Source organism: Homo sapiens, chromosome 17 (genome assembly GCF_000001405.40).
Source record: "Homo sapiens chromosome 17, GRCh38.p14 Primary Assembly".
Taxonomy (NCBI): Eukaryota; Metazoa; Chordata; class Mammalia; order Primates; family Hominidae; genus Homo; species Homo sapiens.
The window spans coordinates 29,976,541-29,994,074 of NC_000017.11; the positions used below are offsets into that span (position 1 = coordinate 29,976,541).

The window sequence follows — 17,534 nt, forward strand, 5'->3', positions numbered from 1 at the left end:
CTATCGACTTAAAGCTTATATACCCAGCAATATTAGTAAAAACAGTCCTGCTTTGAAATTCTCAGAACTATACCATTGTTTGTGTTACCTTCAATCCATTGCAAAGCCTTAGAAAAGTCCATTCACTTTAGGAATGAAATTTTCCTGAATTATAGCCAAGAAAAAAAGTCAAAAGAAAATGTATTTGTTTTAATGAGACTCTATCTTCTTGTGGTAATGTTTAAGTGTTCATTTGCTTCAGCTTGATCCAAAAAGCTTTTGTCTGCCTACTTTCTACGACAAAAGGGATTCATCTCTGTTAGGTCTCTAAAAACAACAGATAGAGAAGACACTGCTTACTTATTTGGAACAATTTTTATAGTGGTAGCCACTATATCTGAAAAATACAGTATCACTGCTGTTTGTAGGTTTTATATGTGCAATGTAATTTACTACTTTTCATTGGGGCTCTTGAAAGACATAGATATAGAATTAAAGTGGACTTTAATTCTTACGTGCAATTTTGGACAACTGTAAAGTAGGTTAAGTTTGTATCATTCACTTTTCTTCATATTTTCTTTTCTTTTAGTATGCTTTGTAAAAAGTATCTTTTCCCTCTGACTCTTGATTTCTCCAGTGTTTGGGATTGCATATTTGAAGGTCATTACCACCTTATTATGAATTGATAATGAAAAATATTTGCTCCTAAAATAGGATTACAAACTTTCAATAGCCTAATTATGATGGTGGTTACACATACTCATATATGTTAAAATTCATAAAACTATGTGCCAAAGAAGGTAAATTTTACTGTATGATATTTTTTAAAATATAAAACTTTTAAGCAGTAAAAAAAGAAAACTGTTAATGTTAGAATTTCAGACTATTCTACTTTACTACAAATTTCCTCTCTTTTCTCAACTAGTCTTGAACCATAATAACCTAGAATGAGTTCAAATGAACCGGAAAGTAGATCTAAGAGACCCCAAACAGAAGCTTGTATCTTTTCCTGTATAATGCATACCCAGTTCTGCCTTGGTAGTGATCTCTGATAATTGCATATTCACTATGGGGTCTGTGTTGCAGTTTGAGATATCTTTTGGGCATTTTTCCTGTGACTCCTCTTTATTAGCTTTATGCATTAATGATGGAACATTTAATCCATAAAGAGAGAGAAACACAAAGAGGTATTTCAAAGAATTACTTTCTCTACCACAGCTACATACAAGAGAAGACCAAGTTAGTATAAATATTCAAGCCTTAAGGATACACAAACCAAGTAAAATTTCAAGAAGCGAGGGACACAGGCCTTTATTTTATTAATTTCTTGCATATTAAGTCGTGTAGTGTTCAAAGAATTTATGTAAACTATGTGACAAAAATCTATTGTGTGTGTTTCTATTGGAATGTGTTATTTGCAGAGTTCTGAAATCTGCTTCAAAGTACTTTTTGTATTTTTTTTAAAAAAAGCTTCAAAATATCTTACTCATCCTTACAAGATGCCAGCAGTAGGATTTGGCAAGACAGAGGGAATGTTTCATCCTTGATATGGGTCTTCCTGAGTTGCCAGGAGACAGTGGCTTCCTAGACAGCTGTCTGCTCATATTCTACACCAGCTGCCACCCATTTACTGAGCCATGTGCTTATATTATGCTAGGAAAACCCACAGGTGCTTCTGCACAGGTGATATTAGTAATATTAATCATCTTGTTGATTTATACTGAATATCAAATTTTGTCAAGCCAGTAAAACAGATTATGAGTGATGTGAGTGAATGGACAAGGAAAATATTTTTGTAGTATTCAAATGACTGTTACATCCAATGGAATTGTGGTAGGACTTTATCCAAACAGGTTCTACTCTTGTTCAACCTGAAGCATAATGATAATTTATGTACACTGACTAGTTTCATGTCCATCTCTAAACCTTACTCTGTTGAGTATGTATATATCCCATTATTAAATACTTAAGAAATTCAACCACTTATGGACTGCAAGATCATGGTCTCCCTGGATGACATCCTTGTATTCTACACCCTACCCTGCAACTTGATATTAAATGAGTCTCTGGTTTGCTTCAATGATATAGAATGTTCCTAATGTTAGAGACTGAGGTAGAGTCCCTGAGTCAACTTCTCTCCAGCTAGGGCTGGGTATCTGGTAAAATGCCTGACAAGGTGTGGTTGTCCTGAAGTAGAAACTCCTAAGACTATTGAGAATGTCCAGAAATTTTTAGGATTTTCCGTATAATTCCATTGATTCATTTAAAAGTATCCAGTGACAGCCTCAAAAGAAGATAATTTGTCTGTTCATAGAGTAGGTTGTGGCCTTCTAATGGCTGAAGACCTTATATGCAATTGCTTTGGTTTTTACATCCTCTGTGCTAACTCAGTCTTTCACCATCGAAACATGCTTCCCAGCTTCCCTGGGGCAGGGGGGATGGGGGGAGTGGGGAGTATGCTTACTCTGTTGGCCTCTGCCCTGCTCTTGCTTTTCCAAAAAGGTGGCTCAATTGGAACTCAACTCACCTCATTTAGAAATAGGAAATCCTGGCTGGGCACGGTGGCTCACGCCTGTAATCTCAGCACTTTGGGAGGCCGAGGTGGGTGGATCACGAGGTCAGGAGTTCAAGACCAGCCTGGCCAACATCGTGAAACCCTGTCTCTACTAAAAATACAAAATTTAGCCAGGTGTGGTGGCACACACCTGTAGTCCCAGCTACTCGAGAGTGGGAGAATTGCTTGAACATGGGAGGCGGAGGTTGCAGTGAGCTGAGACCACACCATTGCACTCCAGCCTGAGTGAGAGAGTGAGATTCCATTTCAAAAAAAAAAGGAAATCCTCACCATTGAGGCCAGCTGTAAAGCTTGGAGGCATTCTATCTGAGCTACCCAGCATATAGTCACAATGACCACTAAGCCCTGATTTAGTCCATCCTGGCCAGATAGGCTGCATTATTTATGCATAACAGTTTTACTACCATACATATTAACTAATCAAAACCACCAGCCAAGTGTCCTCTTTGGGAATCCAGAGTGCCAGCTTTCTCTGTCTAAAACATCCCTCCCTTTGTTTCTTTAGCTGGCTAAGTTCTCCTTGTCCTTCAGTAGTCAGCTATAGCACCACTTTTGTCACAGTTGGTCTGGATTAAGTACTTTTTCTATATATTTCTTACATTTCTGAAACACCTGTAGGCTCATGTCAGCCCCCTTAGCACACTGTAATGTAATTGTTATTTACCTTCCCATAATCCCTTTGAAGACAAGGGCTATCTTCTATTATACCTATATTTGAAACTGAGCACAATGCCTGGCATGAGCTGGGGCTCAATAAATGTTAGATGAATTAATTAATAACTTAAACTTACTAGCCGGCCACGGTGGCTCATGCCTGTAATCCCACCACTTTAGGAGGCTGAGGCAGGTGGATCACCCGAGGTCAGGAGTTCGAGAGCAGCCTGACCAACATGGTGAAACCCCCATCTCTACTAAAAATACAAAATTAGCTGGGCATGGTGGTGCATGCCTGTAATCCCAACTACTCAGGAGGCTGAGGCAGGAGAATTGCTTGACCCCGGGAGGCGGAGGTTGCAGTGAGCTGAGATCAGGCCATTGCACTCCAGCCTGGGCAACAACAGTGAAACTCCGTCTCAAAAACAAACAAACAAAACTTAAACTTACTGAGGAACCTTTACTCAGTCAATTAGTATTTATTGCATAACTACTGAGTTCTCAGTGGTGAGCTATACCTTATAGGGAAAAAATACAAAATTTGATTTTTGTCATGAAGAACTTATACAGTCTATTTGAGGAAATATAACTAAAACAGCCAGTTTTATCAAAAGCAGTTGTCCGTATACACTCTCCCCACTTCCCACACATTTTTTAACCTGTTACTTCTGGCTTTTGTGCCAGGCTTTCTCTAATAAATGGCACTTGCCAAAACCACAATGTTTTCCATGCTTCTAGGCCCAGTAGAAAGTTTGCCATTTTTATCTTACTTGACCTCTTAGCATTATTTCCATCTTGAAATACTTTTTCCCTCCTCTTCCATGATATCATACTTGTCTAACTTTCCTTCTGTTTCTCTATTTAGTCCTTCTCAGTGTCCTTTTCTGGCTCATTCTCTGCTACTTGATCTTCAAATATTAAAGTTCTTTAACCTGTCACTCTATATTCCATCCCTGAGTGCTCACATTCCAACATGACTTAAGTTACCATCTATACATTCATGACTTTTAGATTTATATCTTTGGTTCAAACACCTTCTTTGAGCTCTATCCCAGTACATCCAACTATTTATTCAATATCTGTACTTGTATGTTTCATAAGCACCTCAGTTTCAAGAAGTCATTGTCCTCAAGCCAAAAACTAGCAAATCAACCTGGACACCTTCTGATGATCTCTCACTGTTCATTTCTAGTCAGTCATTAAGTCCTGGTGATTTCACCTTCTTTTCTTAAATTTGTTCATTTCTGACCATCCCCCACTGCTTTCATCCTAGTCTGAGCTACCATTATCTCTTGCCTCCACTATTGCAATAGTTTCCTAATTGGTATGTTTACATCCAGTTGCCTTCTTCCAATCTATTCTTCATCCATAACTAAAGTGATTTTTTTAAAGGCTAATATTACCATGTTGTTCCCCAATGTGAACCCTTTCAGTGGTACCCTTTTACCCTCAGAATAAAGAACAAAATTCTTAACTAAGCCTATGAGACCTTCTTTGGATGACCTTGTCCTTGCCTGCTTTTCCAAGCTTGGCTCCTGCCTCTCTCCCCACACTATACTCCAGGCACAGAGGATTTCTTTCGTTCTTAAACATACTGTGCTTCTCCCTACCTCAGGGTCTTCACATATGCCATTCCCTCTGCCTATACTACTTTCTTCCTCTTTACTTAATCCTACCCATCCTTTAGAGTTCAGGCTCAGACACCATTTCATCATGAAATTGGGTTGGGATCTTCCCTTATGTGCTCTCATAGCATCCTGTGTTTCTCCTTCATTGCACTTATCACAGTTGTGATGGTGGTTTCCTCTGCTACAATATAAGCAGGAACTATGTCTGTCATAGTCACCACTGAATCCTCAGCATCTAACACTGTGTCTTATGAGTAATGCTCAATAAATGTTTGTTAATTAACCTATTCCAGTCTGCCTTAATGATGAAAGTTTTCTTCTGTTTTTATTTTATTTTTGCTTTTTGGTTTTTAGATACATAAGATTATTATGAGATATGTCTTAAAGCTCAATAACTATGGGAGAGTCACCTCATTTTCACACATCCCTTAATTTAGAGTAATTGAATTTTTAACTTTGAAATATCTGGAATTAATCATCACTATTTAATGAGGATGCTATGATAAATGTTCTTTATCATTTTATAAAATTCTGAAGAGGCCTAATTATTCATCTGCTTAAATATTATTGATTAATTACTTAGATTTTTCTTAAATCATTAAATTATATCAGCATCCTCATTTATGTAGTAAGATATAAATTGAATAAGCAAAGAGAAAATAAGTAAGTATAAGAAGTAAGTAGGCATATATTTCATATATGGATTTTTAATAGGAATACTCATCATGGGACTAATATGGACATACTCCAGGAATGGCAAGAAATTCAGTTTAGCGGCTGGGCACGGTGGCTCATGCCTGTAATCCCAGCACTCTGGGAGGCCGAGGCGGATGGATCACAAGGTCAGGAGATCGACGCCATCCTGGCTAACATAGTGAAACCCCATCTCTACTAAAAATACAAAAAATTAGCCGGGAGGCTGAGGCAGAAGAATCGCTTGAACCTGGGAGGTGGAGGTTGCAGTGAGCCAAGCACCACTGCATTCCAGCCTAGGTGACAGAGCAAGACTGTCTCAAAAAAAAAAGAAAGAAAGAAATTCAGTTTAGCTTTGTGAAACTAAGACCACCAGAGCTTAAAAACACCTTCAAACAAACAAACACTGAGTTTATTAACTTGCCAGGCAAAGGAATATACACCAGTGAAGACTTCACTGAATGGTATGTGGAAGGGGGAAATTCAGGGGCTTTTAATTGTTTTATAATAGCTATACTTATAAGAACTAAAAACTTATCACATTGTATAGGACAGAGTGAGTCCATAGATCTGTACATGATTGATTAAAACAAGTCCCAGTTTTTAGTGGTCAAGAAAGGGTCTTCAGTTACGTATAGCAATGATCTGGTATACTGAGGTCACTCAAAGTTCATGGTCAATTATCCACTTAAGCTGATTAGAACCAATTTTGATGTAATACAACTTTCACTTTTGATATAATCTAGGCAAATGTTTCTGTAAATAGAAGATTTTCCTTATACAGCTTGAATTGATGGATAGAATTTGGATTGTCACAACTAGGTGGGGAAGCATTTTTACTTCTACTCTTTAATCAGATTTATATTATGCTTTTCTTTAAAAGGTCTCGAAACACTCATTCATATAGGAAAACTCTTTTCTTAGTTAGCTTTTGCTGCATAACAAAATACTCCAAAACTTCATGGCTTAAAGCAATAGAATTTATTTGCTCATGATTTTGTAGATTGGTAACTTTGAGCTGGGCTCATGGCCCATCTCTGTTCCACATGGTATCAATTAGACTCACTCATGAGATGCAGTAAGATGAAACCTTTCAATGATATCCCTTTACTTTCAGAATAACAACCAAAAGTGATGACCTCAATCACTTTTGTAGTGGTTGGCAGTCTCTTTGCAAAAGCAATGGAAGTAACTGGATCATCATCCAGCAGGCGAGCCCATGCTCATTTCCATGATGGTATTGTAGTGGAAGGGCTCCCAAGTTCAATAAAAGAGGGCAAGCCCCAGTGTTCAAGTACTTTTCAACTTTCTGCTTACATTCTGTTTTCTAATGGCCCATTGGCCAAAGCATGTCACATGGCCAGAAGCAGACAAGGAGTACAGGAACAGACTCCACTTCTTCATGGGAGGAGCTGCAAAGTTATGTTGCATTCATAGAGACATGCATATAGGAATGGGAAGAATTTATGACTATTTTTGCAATTTTTCCATAATGTAGTTTTTCTTCCCTTCCAGTCCCCTTACACTTAGAATGAATCTGCTTATAGGTTATGTCTACCCTGTACTGCCCAAATTAAGAGTTTTGGATGCTTTAGAATTCTCTGGATTAATGTAAAGTAAACATCTTCATGAGATAATGCAGGCTACAGAAGACAAATTTTATTAATTCCCTGAATGGGTGACACAATCAATTTAAAATCCATTTGGATTATATTTTGAGTCTCATGTACAGTGGCCCAGAAGCACAAAAGTAGATTTTGTTTCTAGATATGGACATCAATAAATGGGAGGAAATGATGTCTGAGGTGAGACCTAAAGCATGTGGAGGATCTAGTCAGGCAAAGAGAGGGAGAAAAATATTTCAAGCAGATGGGAAAATGACAGAAAACCAATTTTGTGTATTCATTTTTGTGTCACATGAGAATCTGGAGACACTTAGTACTTACCCTAAAATTCGTTTACTTATCTGTTCTGCCATTGGACCCTAAGCTTTATAATGGCAGAATCCATAGTAGGTGCCGAATAAATATTTATATAATGAATGAGTGAGTGAGTGGTTTAGTGAGTGAGTGTATGAATGAATAATGCAAAAGAGCTGGGTGAAAAACACAGATACAGAAGACAGAGCCACAGAGGAATGAAAACAGAAATTGAGAAGAATCCTAGCTAGAGATGAGGGGGAAAGGAAAAAGCAGCAGAGGATGAAACAGATAAATAGCAGAAGGGGAGACAAGCAGAAGAAGCAGAAGAAGACAAGCAGACAAGCTCTCAGAACTTTGGTAGCTGACCGGTAGAGCTGACTGGTAGAGATTTGGTTGGTTAGCAATTGCATCAGAGAAACTTAGCACTCCTTTAAAATACTCATTAAGGCCAGGCGTGGTGGCTTACACCTGTAATCCCAGCACTTTGGGAGGCCGAGGTGAGCGGATCACGAGGTCAGGAGATTGAGACCAGCCTGGCCAACTTGGTGAAACTCTGTCTCTACTAAAAATATAAAAAATTAGCCAGACTGGTAGTGGGCACCTGTAATCCCAGCTACTTGGGAGGCTGAGGCAGGAGAATTGCTTGAAACTGGAAGGCAGAGGTTGCAGTGAGCCAAGATTGTGCCACTGCACTCCAGCCTGGGCAACAAGAGCGAAACTCCATCTCAAAACAATAAATAAATAAATAAAAATAAAATACTTATTAATCTTCCAGCAGTTCAGACCCAGCCCCTTCTGTACTATTAAACTGCTTGTCTGCTTTTATTTTCAAACTTCAAAGTTCATTTTTGAACACTTGTTTTTCTAGAGAATTTTGAAGGCCTTATATAGGCATAAGGTAATGACTTAGATTTTAGTAGTTTCTTTGGTTCATCAGATGTATCCAATTTACCAGTTCCCACTGAAAATCTTTTTGCATTTTAAAATATGTCAGATTGTCTTAGTCTTTCTTCTTTGAAAGATGAAGACTTGCCTCCAACATTGTTGGGAAAAAATTGTACTTGAAACCAGCGACTATTTTTATTATTCTGAGCCATTCTATTTGATTTCAATCAAAACCAGTTTGGGGTTTTTGGAGTCCTAATAGGAGTGATGCACATAGGTACAATTAAAAGCACAGTTTTTCCCCCATTCTCAACCTGGGTGATGCAGTTCTGGCTGCAAGGGTAACTCTTATGCTCAGCACTTCAGCAGTGGCTGGCAAAGCATGAGACTTTGGCTAGATAAAGGCAATTAGCTGAGATATACCCCTAGACAGATTTCTCAGAAGTTTGATCCAAGGCATCAGAATGACCTGAGATGCTTGTTATAAATGCATCTTCTAGGCTTCCACCCTAGACATGAATGCTGAGACCAGCTCAGTCATGGAGACCCTAACCCAGTGGCACTAGAGGAATTAAAGACACACACACAGAAATAAAGTGTGGAGTGGGAAATAAGGGCTGACAGCCTTCAGAGCCGAGAGCCTGGAACAGAGTTTTACCCACATATTTACTGACAGCAAGCCAGTGATAAGCATTGTTTCTATGGATTGTAGGTTAACTAAAATGGGAAACAAAGGGATGGGCTGAAACAAAGGGATGGACTCTGGCTAGTTATCTGCAGCAGGAACATGTCCTTAAGGCACAGATCGCTTATGCTATTGTTTGTGGCTTAGGAACGCCTTAGGTGGTTTTCCACCCTGAGTGAGCCAGGTGTTCCTTGCCCTCTTTCCGGTAAACTCACAACCTTCAGCATGGGGATCATGGCCATCAGGAACATGTCACAGTGCTGCAGAGATTTTGTTTATGGCCAGTTTTGGGGTCAGTTTATGGCCAGATTTGGGGTCCTGTTCCCAACATGTTCCCCATTTTTGTTTTTGCAAGACGATAAAAGCAAAGGCGGCTTTATCACAGTGAGCTACTTCTTTCAGTAGTCAGGATCTGCATCTACAGACTATACAAAGACAAACAATACAGATTAAAAGCACAATCATCATTGAAATCACAGAGCTTCCAAGTGTTTTTATCCAGTCTAATGGGTTAATAGCTGCTAATCCATCTGTAGCTCCTTCAAGCGCTCCAGTTCCTGGCATTAAGGTCAGGTGTGTCTGGGATACTTTAAATATTTGTTCTTTTAATTTTGCAATATCCAAAGACAAGTTTGTAGAGTGTCCTTCTAGACGTTTTTTATTCTTTCCCAAATTTTGATCTTATTAAGAGCCATGAATAGTTTCCACAAGTCCTTATGTTTAGCTCCTACAGCGGGCCATATCATTTGAGGTTGAGGTGCCACTATATGGCCATGTTTCCAGATAATAGGAACTCTTGCCATACTTCTTACCATTTCTACCATCTGACCATTTTGTTTAGACCAGCTGAACATAGTGTGGCCATGGCACGCAGACTGAGAGGTGAAATTCAAGGTAAACATCCCCTTAGGGGACCAATCAATAATGATTCCATAGGAATCGTTGTGCAGCACCTCTCTGCCTGTTCTGCAGTGCAATCTTCCCAAACAAGTACATTCATTATTTCTGGCCAGGTCCAATTCTGCTTACAAATAGGTTTTTGAGGGTGGTATGCCTCAATTATAGGAGTATATTCATTTTTTTTTTTTTTTTTTTTTTTTTTTTTGAGACGGAGTCTCGCTGTCGCCCAGGCTGGAGTGCAGTGGCGCAATCTCGGCTCACTGCAGGCTCCGCCCCCTGGGGTTCACGCCATTCTCCTGCCTCAGCCTCCCGAGCAGCTGGGACTATAGGCACCCGCCACCTCGCCCGGCTAATTTTTTGTATTTTTAGTAGAGACAGGGTTTCACCGTGTTAGCCAGGATGGTCTCGATCTCCTGACCTCGTGATCCGCCCGCCTCGGCCTCCCAAAGTGCTGGGATTACAGGCGTGAGCCACCGCGCCCGGCCGAGTATATTCATTTTGATAAATACTGAGACCAGAAAGCATGTGTAACTGTGCCATAGAGTGATTACGTCCAGGCATTATTGCCAGCCAAGATTGATAAATATGCCCAATAAGTATAATTGTTCTCTGTGTCAGCCCTTGTTGAAGGAATACTCATGGCAGTGGTGATCACCACTATCATAGCTATCATTAAATTACTCATTGTGACTGATTATCCCACTTTCCTCAGGTTTTCTTCCACCATCTGTGACACCTTCTTGATCTGTCCCCAGGTAGGTGGCTGTGTTCGACAGGTGTTGCTTGTGACAGTTGGAGTCTTCCTCAGCGTCAGTCTTGATATGTCTGCAACCGGTGGGTCTTTGGGATCTTCCCAAAACCTCTTCCTGGGTATCTGGATCTTAGTAAGGCTTTAGATGTCTCGATCGCACCCAAATTGGCTGTTGATTCAATCCTGGAGAAATACAAGCATAACCTCTACCCCAAGTTATTATTTTACCTATTTCCCAACTTTTTATTATCAGATCTCTCCACCAAACCAGTTGTTCTGCTTCTGTCTTTGCAGCTGGTTTCTGTAGATGCTGTTCAGCTGCTGATAGTATTTGGTCTTTAGGCAGGCTAAAAAAATTTACAGTCAATAATGCTAGATTCAGTTGCATATGTGGTGTCCCATAATCCCTGTTTTCCCCCCTCTGCTTTTGCAATTGGTGTTTCAGGGAGAGATTCATTCTTTCCACTATGGCTTGTCCTTGAGAATTATATGGGGTATCAGTAATGTGTTTAATATTCCATATAGAGAAAAATGTAACTAGAGCTTGTCTAGTATATACTGGGGCATTGTCTGTTTTAATAGAAACTGGAATGCCCATACCACAAAGCACTGCAAAAGGTGATGTTTAACACGGGCAGAAGACTCTCCTGTTGGCATGTAGCCCAGATGAAGTGAGAAAAGGTGTCCACACATACATGTACATAAGCTAGTCTCCCAAACGAGGGAACATGTGTGACATCCATTTGCCAAAGAGAATTAGGTTCCAATCCTCGAGGATTAACTCCTCCTGTGAAAGATGAGGAATGCACCATTTGGCAAGTTGGGCATCGCTGGATAATGGCTTTAGCTTCTTTCCAGGTAATGCAAGTATCTGTGTTTGAGACCAAAGGCTCAATTTAACATGGGTTAAATTGTGAAAGTGTCTAGCATTAGGTATTGCAGTAGCAACTAGGTGATCAGCCATTTGATTCCCTTCAGTTAAAGGTCCTGGAAGAGGTGTATGAGCCCTAATGTGAGTGATGTAAAAAGGGTGCATTCTACTCCTAACTGCTGTTTGCAATTGGGTAAATAAAATCATCAGTTGTTCATCTGTATGAAATCATAACTGAGCATTTTCAATTAATTGTGTGGAATGAACCATGTATGAAGAATCAGAAGTCAAATGAATAGGCATATTAAAAGCAGTCAATACCTCAGTTACAGCTACAAGCTCCACTTTTTGAGCTGAAGTATAGGGTGTCTGGAAAACTTTACCCTTCGAGCCAGAATAAGAAGCTTTACCATTAGTAGACCCATCTGTAAAAACATTCTCAGCACCTTCAATTGGTTTAAATTTAGTTATTTTAGGGAGAATCCAATTAGTTAATTTCAAAAATTGAAACAGTTTTGTTTTTAGGAAAATGATTATCGAGAATACTCACAAAGTCAGTTAAATGGGTTTTCCAAGTAAGACTATTTATAAAAGCTTGCTGTATTTGTGCCTTTGTGAGAGTGACAATAATTTTTCCAGGATCATATCCATGTAATTTAACTATCTGAGTTCTCCCATTTCCTATCATAGTAGCAATTTGATCCAAAAAAGGAGTTAGAGTCCATGAATTAGTATGTGGAAGAAAAAGTCACTCTACAAGATCTTGCTCTTGAACAATAACACCAGTAGGTGAATGCTGAGTTGAAAAAAATTAGCAAATCTAGAGTCTTCTCTGGATCTATTCTATTTATTTGAGTCTTATGCACTTGCTTTTCAATCAGCTGCAACTCTGCCTCAGCCTCCTTTGTTAATTGCCGAGGGTTAGTGAGACTAGAATCTCCTCTAAGGATAGAAAATAGATTACGTATGGCATAGGTAGGAATGCCTAGAGCAGGTCGTATCCAATTAATGTCCCCTAGTAATTTTTGAAAGTCATTTAATGTTTTCAATTGATCCCTACATATGGTTACTTTCTGTGGCACTATTGTAGGGTCATTTACTAAGGTCCCCAAGTAGGAATAAGTCTGAATTTTGTCAGGAGCTATAATTAAACTGGCGTGAGAAATCGAGTTTTGCAAGTGATCATAACATTGGAATAATATTTCTTGAGTGGGGGCAAGCACAAAGTATATCATCCATATAATGAATAATGTAACACTGTGAAAATTTTTTACGAGTAGGTTCAATTGCTTGACCTACATACGTCTGGCAAATTGTTGGACTGTTTAACATGCCTTGTGGCAACACTTTCCAATGAAAACACTTAGCAGGCCGCAGGTTGTTTACCACAGGAATTGTAAATGGAAACTGTTCACAGTCTAGCTCAGCTAAGGGAATAGTAAAGACACAGTCTTTTAAGTCTATGACTATTAAAGGCCAATTTTTTGGAATCATAGCAGGAGAAGACAGTCCTGGCTGCCATGTCCCCATAGGTTGTATAACTGAATTAATGGCTCTTAAGTCAGTTAACATTCTCTATTTACCTGATTTTTTCTTAATTATGAAAACTGGAGAATTCCAAGGGGAAAATCTTGGAGCTATGTGTCCTTTTTCTAATTGTTCAGTAACTAAGTCCTCCAAAGCCTCCAGTTTCTCTTTACTTAGTGGCCATTGTTCTATCCAAATTGGCTTATCTGTTAACCATTTTAAAGGTATAGGTTCTGGAGGCTTAACAATGGCTGCCATAAAAAATGATATCCTAAACCTTGGCGGGAACTTTGTCTTTCTGCTTGAAGCAGTTCCTACAAACCTTGCGAATTTTTTCCTAGTCCTACACCAGGGACACACCCGATTTCATGCATCATATGTTGACTTTGAGGACTATATCATTGCTCTGGAATTAGAACTTGTGCTCCCCATTGTGGTAATAAATCTCTCCCCCCACAATTTATAGGTACAGAAGTTATAATTGGTTGAAGAGTCTCAAGTTGTCCATTGGGCCCTTCGCAATGCAAAATATAACTACTTTGATATACTTCAGGGGCTTTACCAACTCCAACTATGTTAAATTGAGCGGGTTGAATTGGCCATGCAGATGGCCAGTGCTGTAGATAAATGATTGAAATGTCTGCTCCTGTATCTAACAAACCTTTAAATTTCTTTCTCTGAATAGTTATAGGATGTTTATCAGTAATTTGATTGACCCTATAAGCTGCTTTGCCTTGTTTATTTGTGCTTCCAAATCCTCCTGTTCATTTAATTTCATTTTTCCCCATTTCCACATATGGCACAATCAGGAGCTGTGCTATATGCTCTCCTGGCTCTGCTTTCCAGGGAACAAAAGTAGATATAACAATTTGAATTTCCCCATTGTAATCTGAATCAATGACTCCTGTATGTACTTGCACTCCTTTTAAATTTAAACTAGATCTACCTAGAAGTAATCCTGTCATCCCCACTGGCAACAAATGACTGGAGACAGCAACATTCTTTAACAGTCTCATTACAAAAAGAGAACCTGGTCCATATTGATTAATAGCTTGTTTAAATTCTTTGAGTAATTTAAAAGGAAAAGGCTCAAATGTAGCTATAATATTTCCCTGTTGATCTGGTGGGTGTATCCTAACAGAGAACTGCCAGGCCTCTAAATCACCCTCTCTTGTAGCTTGCTGAATTCCTGCCTGAATAGAACTGAGAGCAGTCGCTCGAGGTGCTGCTCGAACAGTCACTGGGGCAACTACTTTTCGCCCAGTGTCCTCCAGAAAAGAAAGATCTGGAGGGTCAGGCCACTCTTTTTCTTCAAAATAATGAGGGGGTGCAGAAGGGTAGGGACAAACCTCTCCCTCCTTTGCCACTTTAGATTTAGCTGGCAAACAAACCTGCTCTGTCACCTCTTCGGTTACTTCATCATACTTTCCTTCCTCCTCATTATCAGTGTGAAAAGGTTCCAAGGTGGAATGAACCAGGGCCCAAACTTGTCCCATTGTTACCCTGATGCTTCCGAGCTCCCCTTCTTACTCACCACGGGGACTGCTTAAGAGTACTCGGGTGTCCTCCAGCTTAGTTCCACATTCTCCGACTGTCACTCCAGTGACCCTTCGACCCAGGTTCCAGCCCCATGTATGGGCGCCATTTGCTGAGACCAGCTCGGTCATGGAGACCCTAACCCAGTGGCACTAGAGGAATTAAAGACACACACACAGAAATATAGAGTGTGGAGTGGGAAATCAGGGGGCTGACAGCCTTCAGAGCTGAGAGCCTCGAACAGAGTTTTACCCACATATTTATTGACAGCAAGCCAGTGATAAACATTGTTTCTATAGATTATAGATTAACTAAAATGGGAAACAAAGGGATGGGCTGAAACAAAGGGATGGGCTCCCTGGCTAGTTATCTGCAGCAGGAACATGTCCTTAAGGCACAGATCGCTCATGCTATTGTTTGTGGCTTAGGAATGCCTTAAGCGGTTTTCTGCCCAGGGTGGGCCAGGTTTCCTTGCCCTCAGTCCAGTAAACCCACAACCTTCAGCATGAGCATCATGGCCATCACGAACATGTCACAGTGCTGCAGAGATTTTGTTTATGGCCAGTTTTGGGGTCAGTTTATGGCCAGATTTGGGGGGCCTGTTCCCAACACCTGAAATCAATCCCTTCAGATGATTTCTCTGTCCAGGGAAGAGAGAAGCTCACTACCCTAAGGCCTTATTGCATTCAACCTTGCCTTTTCAGTATATATAGCAGCTTCTAGAGCTATTTTTACTACCTGTTTTTTAAGTTGTAAATCAATATCTTATAATTATATACATTTGCAGGGTCAAAGTGATGTTATAATTTGTGAATACAATGTGAAATAATGAAATCAAACAAATTAGCATATCTATCACCTCAAATACATATCATTTTTTTGTGGTGAGAACATTTGAAATTTACTCTCAGCAATTTTGAAATGTACACTAAAACTTATTCATCTTGTCTAAATGAGATTTTATACCCTTTGACAATCATATCTCCATTTCCCCCATTCCCAGCCTCTGTAACCACCATTCTACTCTCTGCTTCTATGTGCTTGTTTGTTTTATATTGCACAAATAAGTGAAAACTTGTGGTATTTGTCTTTCTGTGCCTGGCTTTTTTCACTTAGCATAATGTTCTCCAATTCCATTCACGCTGTCAGAAATGACAGAATTTCTTTCTTTTTAAAGGCTGTATAGTATTCCATTGTATTTATTTATTACTTATTTTTTGAGACAGAGTTTCACTCTGTCACCCAGGCTGGAGTGCAGTGGCGTGATCTTGGCTCACTGCAAGCTCCACCTCCTGGGTTCACACCATTCTCCTGCCTCAGCCTTACGAGTAGCTGGGACTACAGGCGCATGCCACCACACCCGGCTAATTTTTGTATTTTTAGTAGAGACAGGGTTTTGCCGTGTTAGCCAAGATGGTCTTGATCTTCTGACCTCGTGATCCGCCTGCCTTGGCCTCCCAAAGTGCTGGGATTACAGGCATGAGCCACTGTGCCTGGCCCCTCCATTGTATTATAAACCACATTTCTTCTATCCATTTGTCTGTTGGAGGACACTTAGGTTGGTTCTATCACTTGGCTATTATGAATAGTGTCACAGTGAACATGGAAGTGCAGCCATCTCTTTGACAAACTGATTTCAGATCTTTTGGGTAAATATCCAGAAGTGAGACTGCTGGATCATGTAGTAATTCTGTTTTTAGTTTTTTGAGGAACCTCCCTACCATTTTCCACAATGGTTGTACTAATTCACATTCCTACCAATACTTCTTAAGTCTAGTATTTAGTTGGGTAAAATAAGGCCTACCTCTATAAAAAGTCAAATAGTAGAAAGCACTCTGTGATTAATGCCAAATTCAATAAGTGCTTGTGGAAGAAGGGCTCACTACAGGCCTGAATCAAAGATTTTATGGAGAAAAGACAGGCAAACATTTTCAAAGAGAGTCTGAATTCCTGTGTTCCAATCTGGACCAAATCCAAGGGTATTAACTCAACATGTTTTCTATATCTACATCCTGCAGAGTATCCAAGATGAAGGAGAATGTTAAACAGAATAGAAAACAAAGAGAAAGCATAGACAAAATCATAGTCAAGGTGGCCAACACACGGAAACAGGCTCTGCAGGAGCAATTCGATGAATGGATTCTAGACCCTAAAGGAATGATTCCTAAGTCAGTGGTAAGAAAATTGGGGGTATATGTGAAAGGTAGGTGGGGTAAGTGGTAAAAGGGCAATTGCTAGAATACTGAGTAGCATACTAGAAGCCTCCCTTGAAATTTTCAGTATTGCTGAGGTAAGTCTTGACCTGTCTGGTCCGTGAGTGTTGATTCCTTCAATTTCTTTTGAGCATTACCAAAAAAAAAAAAAAATTCTAGCTAGATTTCTAAAATCTTGACTCTGGCTGAGGTTCCCAAACTCATCACTATAAACCAACATATATTTCATTTGTTTGTTTGTTGTGTGTGTGTTTGTATGTGTGACTACTTCTGTGAGACCTGCAAGACTATCTCTTAGCTCTAGAGAACAACTGTACTCTGAGAGTTAAATGCTTTCTCTTAAGTGTATGTGGATTTGGAAATACTTTTTCATTAGATACAATGCTAAGCATATTTTCAGTTTAAAGTGAATGATTAAAAATAGATCAAGGAAGACAAGCCACAGACTGGGAGAAAATATTAGCAGAAGACATATCTGGTTGGGTGTGGTGGCTCACACCTATAATCCCAGCACTTTTGGAGGCCGAGGTGGGAGGATTGCTTGAGGCCAGGAATTCGAGACCAGCCTAGGCAATATAGGGAGACCCTACTTTTATGAAGAATTTAGAAATTATCCAGGCTGTGGTTCCAGCTTCTTGGGTGGCTGAGGTGGGAGGATTGCTTGAGTCCAGGAGGTCGAAGCTGCACTGAGCCATGATCATGCCACTGCACTCCA

General features: G+C 39.7%; 1 protein-coding gene across 15 annotated transcripts in view; it reads left to right on the top strand.

The window, feature by feature from the left end:
* The window catches only part of EFCAB5 (EF-hand calcium binding domain 5), a 178,550-nt gene that overhangs the window by 46,638 nt on the left and 114,378 nt on the right, over positions 1–17,534 (top strand). For 14 of the 15 annotated variants that reach the window (NR_026738.2, XM_024450742.1, XM_024450743.1 and 11 more), the window contains one exon: positions 16,625–16,781. Coding sequence is in view for 14 of the 15 variants with exons in the window: in XM_024450742.1 (XP_024306510.1) it covers positions 16,625–16,781 (157 nt within the window). In the remaining variant the exon portion in view is untranslated. Of the gene's footprint in view, positions 1–10,637; positions 10,677–16,624; positions 16,782–17,534 lie in introns of those variants that run through there. The other variant, XM_017024591.2, reaches the window with a different exon arrangement.